Source organism: Homo sapiens, chromosome 4, assembly GCF_000001405.40.
Source record: "Homo sapiens chromosome 4, GRCh38.p14 Primary Assembly".
Classification (NCBI taxonomy): domain Eukaryota; kingdom Metazoa; phylum Chordata; class Mammalia; order Primates; family Hominidae; genus Homo; species Homo sapiens.
In genome coordinates this window covers 58,524,513-58,539,076 of record NC_000004.12, presented here as the reverse complement: position 1 = coordinate 58,539,076, position 14,564 = coordinate 58,524,513, and the positions used below count along the sequence as shown (strand labels likewise).

At 33.7% G+C, this 14,564-nt stretch overlaps 1 long non-coding RNA gene across 1 annotated transcript; it reads left to right on the top strand.

Annotated features, from left to right (window-relative positions):
• Positions 1–2,748: 2,748 nt before the first annotated feature.
• On the top strand, positions 2,749–14,562 carry LINC02494 (long intergenic non-protein coding RNA 2494). The gene is made up of 3 exons (NR_133943.1): positions 2,749–2,803; positions 9,807–9,868; positions 14,253–14,562. It is a non-coding gene; the product is annotated as a long intergenic non-protein coding RNA 2494 (long non-coding RNA).
• Positions 14,563–14,564: the final 2 nt, after the last annotated feature.

Genomic DNA, 14,564 nt, shown 5'->3' with positions numbered 1-14,564 from the left:
CAAGAACTATGGAATAATACCAAACAGTATAACATACACCTAATTACAATATCAAAAAGAGAATAAATAAATCAACAAGGAAAACATAATATTTAAAGAAATAAAGGCCTCTATTTTTTTTCCAAAAATACTAACAAATATCAAAACATAGATCCAAAACGTTCAGAACACCAAGTGGATAAATATTAAAACAAAACAAAACAAACAACAACAACAACAACAACAAAGCCTGCAGCTCATCATATTATAGTCTAACTAAAGAAAATAAAAAAACAAAGAGAGTGTCTTTCAGGCACCCAAAACAGGGAATGGGGGGACACTTTACCTAGATATAAGAAAGATAAGAAATGTAGTTTTCTTATTAGAAGCTTTGATGGTTAAAATTGAGTGTCAACTTGATTGGATTGAAGGATGCAAAATATTGTTCTTGGGTGTGTCTGTGAGGGTGTTGTCAAAGGAGATTAACATTTGAGTCAGTGGACTGGGAGAAGCAGACCTACCCTCAATCTGAGTGGGCATCATCTAATCAGCTGCCAGCATGGCTAGAATAAAAACAGGCAGAGGAATGTGGAAGGACTAGACTGGCTGAGTCTTCTGTCCTCCATCTTTCTTCCATGGTGGCTGCTTACAGACCTCAAGCATCTGACTCCAGGTTCTTCAGCTTTTGGACTCATGGACCTACACCAATGGTTTGCCAGGGGTTCTCGGGCCCTTGGCCACAGACTGAAGCCCGCACTGTTGACTTCCTTACTTTTGAGGTTTTGGAACTTGGACTGGCTTCCTTGCTCCTCCTCAGCTTGCAGATTGCCTATTTTGGAACTTCACCTTGTGATCCTGTGAGTCAATATTCCTTAATAAACTCTTTTACATATGTACATCTATCCTGTTAGTCCTGTCTCTCTAGAGAACCCTGACTAGTATAGAAGCTATGCAAGCAGAAAGACAATAGGGTAAGATCTTTACCGTGCTGAAATGAATAAACTTGCCAAGTCAGAATTCTATATTCAACAAATATTCTTCAGAAGTAAAGAAGAAATAAACGTACAAACAAAAATTGAAAAAAGTATTTATTTCATTGTCAGCGGATCTACCCTACAATAAGTATTAATACATATTCTTCAGCCAGAAGAAAACTATTGTAGTTTAGAAAGCTGAATCTACATAGGGAAGAAAAATGTGTCAGAAAGGAATGAATAAAAGAAAAGCATAAAAGCTTCTTTTCCTTATTTTTAATGGCTCTAACAAATAACTGATTATTTAAAGAAATAATTACAATATTGTATTGGATATTTGAAGAAAATGTAAAAGTGTAATAAGTGAAAACTAGTCAAATAGACAGGAGGGAGAAGACAAGAATATTATGTTATAATGTAACTTCAGTACACATGGTGCAGTATTGTATTATTTGTATATGATCCTATATTATTACAAAATGTATATTGTAAATTCTTGAACAATTTACTGGGTTGAATAGTGACTGCCTTAAAATTCATGTCCACTCATTTCATTATCTATGAATGTGACTTTATCTAAAAATAAGATCTTTTCAGATGTAATCAAGTTAAGATTAGGTCATGCTTGATTATGATGGGTCCAAAATTCAATATTACTGGTGACCTTTTAAGAAAAGGAAAATTAAGATACAGATGTACAGGGCAGGAAACCATGTAAAGTTTAAGTTAGAGATTATAGTTATGCAGATACAAGTCAAGGAACATCAAGAATTGCCAGCAACCACCAGAAGCTAAAAGACAAAAGGAAGTGTCCTTATCTAGAGAGTTCTGAGAGTGACCCTGCCAACACCTTGACTTCTAGCCTCCAGAAATGTGAGATAAGAAATTTTTGTTATTATAAGCCATGCAGTCTGTGGTAATTGGTTATGGTAGTCATAGAAAAAATATATAAACAAAAACTTTTAAAAAGTTATAAATTATAAATGATAAAAAAACAGAGGGCAGAAAAAGAGAAGAAAACAGAGCAAATGTAAAAAAGAGCAAACAGCAAGATGGTAGATTTTAATTCAACAATATTAGTAATCGCTTTAAATGGGATTGCTCTAAACAGACCAGTTAAAAAATATCATCAGATTTTATACAAAAAGCAAGCCCAAATCTATGCTGTCAAAAAAATAAATTGACTTTAACTATAAAGACTTAGATAAGCTCAAAGAAAAGGAATAAAGGATGATAAACTATGCAAATACTAATTTAAAAAGCTGGAGTAACTATATTAATTTTGGACAAAATAGACTTCAAAACAAGGAAGATAATTAGAGATAAAGTGGGTCATTAATGATAAGTAGGTCAATTCTTCTCTAAGAAAATATAGTAACCCTAAACATGTATCGGGGAACCTGCCCTGATAGTCACGTAGGTTCTTTTCTATTTTCCTTAAGCATCAGCTGACTTGAGAAATAAAGGGACAGAGTACAAAAGAGAGAAATTTTAAAGCTGGGTGTCCAAGGGAGACATTAATTGTTATTAATTGGCTATATTATCTTACATTTTGCAACATTTATCTAAACTTTATGTCTTAAAAGAAACCCTGCTTAGTCAAGAGCTATTACGCCATATTTGCCTGCTCTCCAATATTTATAAAAACTATTTTTGAACTTTTCATTTCAATGGAAATAAGACAGGAAGCGTTGTAAGTTAGACATATGTATTTACTCTTTTAAAAATATGTTTTTGGGGGCAGAGCAAGATGGTGAAATAGAAGCCTACACTTTTCATCTCCCCTGCTGGAACACCAAATCTTAACTGTCTGCACACAGAAAAGCACTGTCACAGGAACCAAAAATCAGGTGAGCGATCACAGTACCAGGTTTTAACTTTATATCACTGAAAGAGGTATTGAGGAGGGCAGAAGAGAAAGTCTTGAATCACTGATGCCACCCCTCCCCGATCCCCATGGCAGCAGCGGAGTGATGCAGAGAGATAATCTGTGTGCTTTTGGAAGGGACAGTACAGCAACTGAGGAAATTTACATTAAACTCTATGCTGCCCTGTCATAGTAAAGAAAAAATCTCTGCCAGGATCAGCCAGCATCCATACATGAAGAAAGCATTAGGAGCAGCCCTTGCCAGAGGGGTATTGCCCTTTTCAGTGGTCAAAACTTGAGTTTCTCAGCAAGCCACACCACCATGAGCTGAAGTACTGTGGGGTCCTAGGTAAATTTTAAAGGCAGTCTAGGACACAAGGACTGTAATTCCTGGGCCACTCCTAGTGCTAGGCTATGCTTACAGCCAGTAAACTAGGGTGGAACATGACCTAGGGAGACACCAGCTGAGGTGGCTAAGGAAGTGTGTTAGCCATACATCCCCCCAGGCAATGCAACTTGCAGCAACAAAAGTGACTCCTTTCTTCTGCTTAAGGAGATGATAGTGAAGAATAAAGAGGACTTTGTCTTGCATCCTACTTGCCAAAGTAGGATAGAGCACTGGGCAGAATCATTAGGCCCCCATTCCAGGCCCTAGCTCCCAGATGACATTTCTAGACACACCCAAAGGGGAACTTGCAAAATTAGAGATTAAAAAGGTGACATTACAACTGATACCACAGAAATTCAAAGGATCATTAGAGTCTACTATGAGCTACCATATGCCAATACATTGGAAAATCTAGAATAAGTGGATAAATTCCTAGAAACACACAACCAATCAAAATTGAACCATAAAGAAAACCAACACCTGAAGAGATCAGTAACAGGTAACCAGGTCAAAGGTGTAATAGAAAGTCTCCCATTAAAGAAAAGCCTGGGACCTGATGGCTTCACTGCTGAATTCTACCAAATATTTAATGAAGAACTAATACCAATCCTACTTAAACTGTTAAAAAAAATAAGAGGAGGAAATACTTCCAGATTCATGAGGCCAGTATTACCCTGATATCAAAGCCACAAAAAGATACAAAACAAAATCACACGCTAATATCTGTGATGAATTTTAATGCAAAAATTCTCAACAAAATATTAGCAAATCAAATTCAACAATACATTAAAAATATTATTCATCATGACCAACTGACATTTATCCCAGGAATTCAAGGATGGTTCAACATATGAAAATCAATCAATGGGAAACATATCAACAGAATGAAGAACAAAATCAGCATGATTATTTCAATTGATGTTGGAAAGCCATTTGATAAAAGTCAACATCTTCATGATAAAAATCCTCAAAAAACTGTGGATAGAAGGAACATACCTCAACATAATAAAAGCCATATATGACAAACTACAGCTAGTATCCTACTGAATCAGGGGAAAACTGAAAGCCTTTTCTCTAAGATCTGGAACATGACAGGATATTCACTGTCACCACTGTCATTCAATATAGTACTAGAAGTCCTTGCTACAGCAGCCAGACAAGAGAAATAAATAAAGAACATCAAAATTGGAAAGGAAGAAGAATTATTCTTCTTTGCAGAGGATAGGAACTTATATTTGGAAAAACCTAAGTATTCCTCCAAAAAACTATTCAAACTGATAAATAAATTTAGCAAAGTTGCAGTATACAAAATTAGCACACAATAATTGGTGGCATTTCTATATGTCAACAGTGAACAATGTAAAAAATAAATTTAAAAAGTAATCACATTTACATTAGCCAAAAATTAAATAAACACCTAGGAAATAACCAAATTTCTTAGGCTGGAGTGCAATGGTGTGATCTTGGCTCACTGCAACCTCCACCTCCAGGGTTTAAGCAATTCTCCTGCCTCAGTCTCCAAAGTAGCTGGGATTACAGGTGCACACTACCACGCCTGGCTAATTTTTGTATTTTTAGTAGAGATGGGGTTTCACCATGTTGGCAGACTGGTCTCAAACTCCTGATCTCGTGATCTGCCCACCTTGGCCTCTCAAAATGCCAGAATTACAGGCATGAGCCACTGAACCCAGCCAGAAGTGAGATTTCTACAATGAAAATTATAAAACACTGATGAAAAGAATTGAAGAGGACACAGAAAAATTAAAAGATATTCCATGTTTATGGATTTGAAGTTTCAATGTTGTTAAAATGTCCATACTGGCTGGGCACGGTGGCTCACTCCTGTAATTCCAGCACTTTGGGAAGCCGAGGTGAGTGGATCACCTGAGGTCAAGAGTTCAAGACCAGCCAGGCCAACATGGTGAAACCCCTTCTCTACAAAAATACAAAACTTAGCCAGGCATAATAATAGATACCTGTAATCCCAGTTACTCAGGAGGCTGAGGTAGGAGAATCACTTGAATCCAGGAGGCGGAGGTTGCAGTGAGCCACTATTGTGCCATTGCACTCCAGCCTGGGTGACAGAGCGAGACTCTGTCTCAAAAAAAAAAAAAAAAAAAAAAAAAAAGTTCATACTATCCAAAGCTATCTACAAATTCTACAAATTCAATGCAATCTCTATCAAAATACCAATGACATTCTTCACAGAAATAGAAAAAATAATCCTAAAATTTATACAGAACTGTAAAAGACCCAGGATAGCCAAAGCTACACTAAGCAAAAAGGACAACACTGGAGGAATCACATTACCTGACTTCAAATTTTACTACAGAGCTATAGAAACCAAAACAGTATGATATTGGCATAAAAACAAACACATAGATAAATGGAACAGAATAGAGAACCCAGAAACATATCTACACACCTACAGTGAACTCATTTTTGACAAGGACATACATTGGGGAAAAGACAGTCTCTTCAATAAATGGTGCTGGGAAACTGGATATTCATACGCAAAAGAATGAAACTAGACTCCTATATCTTGCCATATACAAAAAATAAACCACAATCAATTAAAGACTTAAATCTAAGACCTCAGGCTATGAGCTACTACAAGAAACATTGGGGGAAATCTCTTAAGACATTGGTCTGGGCAAAAATTTCTTGAGCAATACTAAAATGGACAAATGGTATCACATGAAGTTAAAAAGCTTCTGCACAGCAAAGGAAACAATCAACAAGTGAAGAGACAACCCACAGAATGGAGAAAATATTTGCAAACTACCCTTCTGACAAGGGATTCATAACAAGAATATATAACTAGCTCAAACGACTCTCTAGAAAAAAAATCTAATAATCCAATTAAAAATGGGCAAAAGATTTGAATAAACATGTCTCAAAAGAAGATATACAAATGGAAAACAGGCACATAAAAAGGTCCTCAACATAATAGATCATCAGAGAAATGTGAATCAAAACTACAATGAGATATTACCTCACCCCAGTTAAACTGGCTTTTATCCAAAAGTCAAGCAATAACAAATACTGGAGAAAATAACTCTTATACACTGTTGGTGGGAAAGTAAATTAGTGCAACCACTATGAAAAATAGCTTGGAGTTTCCTCAAAAACTAAAAATAGAGCCACTATACTATCCAGCAATCCCACGGCTGGGTATATACCCAAAAGAAAGGAAGTGAAAAATCAAAGCAATATCTGCACTCTCGTGTTTGTTGCAGCATTGTACACAATAGACAAGATTTGGAAACAACCTAAGTGTCCATCAACAGATGAATGGATAAAGAAAATATGGGATTTATACACAACAAAGTACTATTCAGCCCTAAGAAAGAATGAGATTCTGTCATTTGCAACAACATGGATGGAACTGGGGGTCATAATGTTAAGTAAAATAAGCCAGTCACAGAAAGAAACATCACATGTTCTCACTTATTTGTGAGATCCAAAAATCAAAACAATTGAAGATAAGAGAATAGAAGAATAGTTACCAAAAAAAGCTGGAAAGTGCAGAGGTAGGGTGTGGAAGAGGTGGGCTGGTTAATGGGTACAAAAGAAAGTCTTAGAAAGAATAAATAGGAAATAATATTTAATAGCACAATGGGGGGATTATAGTCAATAATAATTTAGTTGTACATTTTTAAATAACTAAAATAATATAATTGTATTATTTCTAACAGAAATGAGACGTTCTTTTAGGGATGGATACCTAATTTTCCACTATGTGATTATTATGCATTTCATGCCTGTATCAAAATATGTCATGTACCTCAAAAATATAGACGCCTGCTATGTGCCCAAAAATTAAAAATAAAAAAATTTAGAAAAATAAAGATAAAAATACAGTTTCTTATTCAATATCATTTTCACACCAGTAGGTTTACAGATATTTATATATTATAGATATGGTAAACTACTATTATAATCCATATCAAATATTTTCCTTTTTAATTCTTTGATCACTTGGTTTTTATAAATCAGTACCATAAATTGATCATTTTTACCAATATGCAAACTCTTCTAATAAAATCTTCACATTTTAGCTTGGCACAGAGATACATGGAATAAAGACCTCATATCCAAACCTTCACTGTGGCCAAGCAGAACCATCTGCTGTGTGGAATATAAGTAAAAATGTTATACACATGTATTCTTAAACGAAGAAGTTACACACGTATTTATATATTTCTCTTTCTAATAATGGAATGTGGACATTATATTTGGAACTTAGAAAGGCATCTGAAAGCATGAGGCACAATTCTTACATGTCAAATACTACAGCAGTCACAGAAAGATGCCTGAATTTTGTGATCATAGAGCTACCATATAAGTATTTGACCTTTGATAGCTCAGTTTTAGACTATGTTAACACAGAGAGAAATAAACTTCTATAATTTTAGGATTATAGTCGCTAAGAGAAGAACATGATTACAGGTAGTAAATATTTGTTAGGAAGGCATTTACCAGATAATTACATACTTTTTATATTTATATATACATCTATCATATATTTATATAAAGTAAATAGTTATACTTAAAGACATATATATTTTTATATTTTATGTTTATGTATTTATGTATATATATAATCACATGCACACACACATATAGAATAGGTGACCCTTTAAACTTCATTACCATAAACTCATTACTAAAATTTATAGACTCAATCTTAATATCTCCCTAAAGCACATCCATGAGTACCAGAAAAAAAAAAATACCAAACTTGTCTTTTTAGGAGAAATGAAGGTATAGTTGAAGTAGCGATCAAGAGAAAAAATATATATTACTGTAAAACAAACAATTTATATAATGCAGGATAGACTGTGATTATGTATTTAACTTAATTGGTCTGATGACTTACATGTGTAACTGACTGGATATCACCAAGCCCAAAAATGAAATACTTAAATCAAATTTTGTTTCTGAATAAACCTCCAGCATTATGAGAAACACCAAGTAAAACTAAATAAAAATTAACTGAATAAAATCGATATGTAGTTAATAAAATCATACTATATAGACCATATAGTGCAAATAAGTCAGTAACCATATCCAGTATATATTCATTCAAACACCACATACTGAGTATATGTGTGGAATAAAATTTTTAAAGCCATTATTTTGGATCTCAAGTTCATAGTCTAAGAAATAGAATGATACGCTAAAGTGTGGATTAAGAATAAAATATTTCTGTTTTTACTTTTTAATTCTACATTAAGAAAGTTATCTTGCTATTCTTGCTCTTCTCTGAAATGTGTGGTAATATTTCCTATGATCTCTATATAAACTTGGTCACATAGAGCTGTAGTTACTGTTTGTGAATATATTGGGTGAAGAAATTCAAAATTACAATCAGTATTGAATGTTTTTCACTCGTCTCCACCTCAACCTCATATCTATCTTATTAATTTCTGTGATATTGCATAAACCATCTGTTTGCTTTTCAGTATAAAAATCCTGCACTAAAATAAAAATTCTGATGATAGCCAGGCATGGTGGCTCATGCCTGTAATCCCAGCTATTTATGAGGCTGAGGTGTAAGGATCGCTTGAGGCCAGTAATTTGAGGCTGCAGTGAGTTATGATTGTACCACTGCACTCCACCCTGGATGACAGAGAGAGACCCAGTCTCTAAACAACAACAACAACAAAATGATGATGTTTCTAACTATGTATCTACCTGCATAGTACATATCTATACATATCTATATTTGCATTTATTTCTAAATTTATGTTCCACATGTAATGTGGGCCAAAATTACACTCCATATAAAGACTAGAAGTCAACTGCCTTATTGTGAATTGGTATGCATACTTTCCAATATATTTTTTAATGAAACATGAAGAAAGTACATAAATAATCACTATCATTAGTAAAGAAGCTCATGGGAAGAAGATTGTATAATCTTTTCCAGAATTTTATATTTGAGGACAACGTAGATGGTAATACTATGCAACATTGTAGAGAGAATGGCTCAAATAATACTTTTTAGTGTATATATTATATAATGATTGCATAGTATATAATGTTATTTTGAGATATATAAACATCAGTAATCATATATGTGTGAGTTATGAGTATTCATCATATTTAATAGAAAAGAAAACAAAATTTTTGATTTGTGTGTATGTGTACCGGAAAAATATATATGGAAGCAATGTACAGATTTCTGCCTATATAGCTATCATGTATAAATCATAGTTTCACACCAAGTGTGCTGGGGGTGCAGGAATAACCACATTTTTATAATTTGAAATTTCCTCTAGTAACCTTAATTATCCAAATCAATTGGGAGTTGATTCTATGTGAATAGCTCCAGAGCAGGAGTCACGTTCATGAGGTCTCAGAGGAACCATCATTTATGCGTAATCAAGTATGTTTTGTACAACAATGGCAAAACATTTTAGAGCAGCTAATCTGCAGTAATAAATATGATGAATTCCCAACTTCAATTTAATTTTCCTCTTTGGAAATATGAGGATAATCGTAATACCAATCTCAAATAGTTTTTTTGTTCATTTATTCATTTGTATTTTATTTGTTTATTAGTCACACATTCTTTTCTCAAATTGAGCAGTGACAAGCAGTGTTAAGATGTTTTGGGTACTTCAGTCAACAAGCTGCCATCTTCAACATGGGGTGAGTGTTCCACTGGGTGTATGTAATAATTTTCCAAGAGACATTCATTGCTTTTGAGATATCCACTTCCAATGCTCCTCTCTGTTAACGCTAGTTCTCCTAAGAAAACATTTGTGATTGTGTCCTTTACATCTGACTGTCACAAATTTCCTTCTCTCAGATTCTAAAAGGAAGATATGTCTCTAACACATTCCCTAATTTTGATTTTACCCAGGATGCAAAACAATCAGGAGTGCCAAAAATGTAACACTTTGAAATATTGGTGTCAGTAGTGAGAAAGGGAATGACTTTAATGAGTGAGTAACAAATCACTTTATAAAGCAGGGGGTTTCTAACTCTTTCCTTTCAAGAAAATTGAAGGAAAAATAATCAAATTTTCAGCTAAAAAATCACGAAATAATTTTTGATGATAGAACAGTGTTATTTTTGGTATATAACTCAGACGGTGACAAAAATAATTGACTTGCATTGCTGTACCCATATGAATTTTTTTAAAATAAAGTAAAATAACAGTGAAACCTTTATAATCTAGTTTGATACATGAACCAATTGAAGAAAAAATCCCATCAAATTAAAAATATATTCAAATTTAATAAGTACATTCACATTATTATTTTTATTAACTATATAATGATAAATTATATATTAATAATTAATATAATATTAACTCAATCCAAAAAGAGTAAATTTTAACATAGAGAGGCTTAAAATAAGAAAAAATGTATTTGTTGAAGAAAATGTATAAATGGAAGCACACAATTTATTACATTAGAATAAAATTCTAAGTCAACAAGTATGGAAAAAATAGCTCAAAAAGATTATAATCACTAATTATAATTACATCTATAAAATATGTTAAACAACAAATATAATTATTTTATTTAAAAATATTAACATTTTAAATTGAATAGAAATTACACCCTTTGTCATTAATTGAATATACAATACAAATGTTAAACCTCAACTTGTAAGTATGAAGAAGGTGTTAAGGTGTTTTTATAAAATTATTTTAATAGTGGCAGTACAATCAGTAGTTCTGAAACAACTAAATAACACGACTGTCTTTTAAAGAGGTTACCTATGATGGGAAATGAGAACATAAGCTAAAACTAAGAGTCCAGCCTGGCACGGTGGCTCACGCCTGTAATACCAGCACTTTGGGATGCCGAAGCGGGCAGATCATGAGGTCAGGTCAGGAGATCAAGACCATCCTGGCTAACACCGTGAAACCTTGTCTCTATTAAAAATACAAAAAATTAGCCGGGCGTGGTGGCGGGCGCCTGTAGTCCCAGCTACTCGGGAGGCTGAGGCAGGAGAATGGCATGAACCGGGGAGGTGGAGCTTGCAGTGAGCAGAGATCACGCCACTGTACTCCAGCCTGGCCGACAGTGCGAGACTCTGTCTCAAAAAAAAAAAAACAAAAAAAACTAAGAGTTGATGTGGCTATAATTTTGCCTAGCACAGTGTAAGCAAACACTGTACTTCCTCTCTATTACTAACAATGAAAAAGAATTAAAATTTAAGAAATGTTTAATTTCTGGATAATAGAGAATAATTTTTATAGCCATCTATGTGTATATTTAGAAACACAGTCTTGCTCTGTCACCAAGTCTGGAGTGCAGTGGCACCATGATAAGCTCACTACAGCCTCTAACTTCTGGGCTTAAGCAATTCTCCCACCTCAGCTTCCCTAGTAAATGGGACTAGGTCTCACTATGTTGCCCAAGCTGGTTGCAAACTCCTGCCCTCAATTAATCCTCTTGCCTCAGCCTCCCAAAGTACTGGGATTATAAGCATGAGCCGCCATTCCTGGCTTGATTCCATTAGATGAGTTTGATGTATTTTTTAAAATTTTTCAAACAGTTATTTAAGTATTGAGAAAAGATTATGTTAACAAATTTCAAAATTAATACTTTATGTGGTATATTTGTAAGGTTTCTTAAAAGAAACAGAATCAATAGGGTGTATATAAATATGTAAAGAGATTTGTTCTAAGGAATGGAGTCACACAATCATGAAGTCTTGGCAAATGCAAAATCTGATGGGAGAAGGAGATTGGCAGGCTGGAGAATAAAGATAGAGTTGCACTCCAAGTCTACAGACCCATATACAGACCCATAGCAAACCAGGAAAAGCCAGTGTTGCAGGTAAAGTCCAAAAATAGTCTGCTAGTGGTATTCCATACTCTCCCTCAGGGTAGGTCAGACTCCAACTGAATGAATGATACCTACCCATGTTATGGAAGGCAAATTGCTTAACTCAGAGTCCCCTGATTTAAATGTAAATATTATCCAAAAACACCCTCACATAATCATACAGAATAACCATATATGTAGGCACCATAGCCCAGCCAAATTGACACATAAAATTAGCCAGCACACATGACTATATTAAATTAGTCTCAGAACAATGGTATAAAATGGTTAAAATAATTTAGGTTACAGAAATAGGGACACCAAATCCACAAAGCTTAAAAGGACTGTCTACTGCCTTGATTATTTCCAGGTTGTGTTTAATTTTTTTTTTATTTTAGAAAATTAAGACACTAGATATTTAAGGGCTAATTTTTCTAAAGATAGATATCATTTTCAAGAACTTACACTAAACGTATCCTGAATTACTTATAAAAGCCAGTCACAATCATACCCTCTTCATTAGTATTAAGTATTATATTATGATTCCTGTTCTTGGGCAATTTAAAGTTCTTATGCCCTGAATGAGTCATATGTGCTCTCTTGGTATTGAATTTAACAAATTGAGGTTCTCTATTTCATTTCAAATAAGTTACTTTATTTTTTTCTTTTGTAATAAAAGGTCACAGCATTTTGTACCTTAGAAAGATAAGATGATATTAAAAGTGCAGTGAAGGTCAAAATGACATAAATTAGGGATAAAAATTAAGACACAGATGTTTTTCCAATTCTCCAGAAAATCCAATCCCAAACAGTGATAATCAAATGTAACTATTCTATTTATGTTACAAGTGGGCTAAGGCATGTTATGCAATAATTTAAAATACTCTAATAAAGTAAATGAAAGTGGAATGCCTTATCATAAAGGAAATAATGAGACTGGATAAGAAATGCTAGCATATTTTTGAATATCATAAAATATGGGCACATTCTCTCTTGTTGGCTAAAAATAATGACTTATTGGTTTACATGAATACATTTTCTTTTCAAAGATAAAGATATTCTAGTTTCATTCAAATCCTCATTTAGGATATATGCCACACTCATACTTTATAACTCAATACATATTGTTCAATTGAATGTATTATACATAAAGTAAGAATGTCAAATTATGGTTATTGTACTGATGAAGAGAGAAGCCTTATTGCATTTAGCAACACAAAGATAAGAGACTTGTAAGTGCTTGGAAACAATCTGATAGAGAATACAATATATGAGTTTTAAAGTGAGACCAACATGAGTAAAGACATGGTTTCTATGCATTGCTGTGATGGAAAATGTATTCAACTGTCCCAGCATCACTTTCCTTGTGTGATTTTTTTTTAATTCCTTCATCACTTCATCCAATGTTTATCATGCACCTTCCACATATTAGGAAAACAGCTGTATTCTGGAAGTATAGGAGAAAATAGTTGGATAAATTTTTTGCCTTCAGGAAGCCTATTGAGAGATATAGATATAAAAACACAAATAGAATAAATTTCGTTATAGAGATATTCACACATTCATTCATTCAACACATACTTAATGAGCACCTGTGATGTGGTACAGACATTTATTTTTTATGCTGGTGATACTGTGATGAAATAATGTAAAAATCCAAACTCATATAGCTTTTTGCTAAGTAAAGGACACAGAAAATAAATACATATTCTAGGAAGATACACATATTCAGGCAAATTAAGCAGAATATAACCTTTCAATCTAATATTTAACTTTCCAAAGCAGAAATTACTGGATAGAAATAAAAACAGAGACACATTATTTATTTAAAACAAATACTATATGTTAATTATGTATGTATTACACACACATTATATAATTTATGTATCATAAGTGTGTGTGTATGTGTGTATATGTGTGTGTGTGTGTGTGTATACATATTTGGAAAACAGTAAAACAGAAAAAGGAGAGAGTAAAATGATAACGTGTGAGGGAAGACCTCTGTAGTATAGTAGCCCTTGATCTATGGCAGGAATGAAGCAAGGGAGGGAGCCATGTAGATATATATTTACAGAAAAGTAATCTGGCATTTAGAATTGTCAATGCAAAGTTCTTGCAGGAATGCATCTGAGTACACTAAAAACAACAAAGAAGTTAGTATGGCTCAAGTAAGAGAGAGGGAGTGATGGGTGATAATCATTTTAAACAGGGCAACTTGATTACCCAGCTATTTTCCTCTTCTTTTCTAGGCATACAGAGCAGTTTTCAAGCCTCTATAGAAGTCATCTTACAGCGAGTCTGAGCCAGTGAAATGCAGTTATAGTGATATGTGTACTCCCAAGGTAGCTGTCAATGCTCCTACTCGGAAATACTCATATGTTGCTTCTGACTTGAAGCAGAGGAACTCACAACCTAAGAAGCCACAGGCTTGAAGATGGCAGAGCACAAGATGGCAGAAGTTTGGAATGAATTACTACTTGAAAGAGAAGCTCTTATTTACCAAGAAATATATTTTGGAATTTGCATGAGTAAGAAATAAATCCAATTATGCTAACATTATC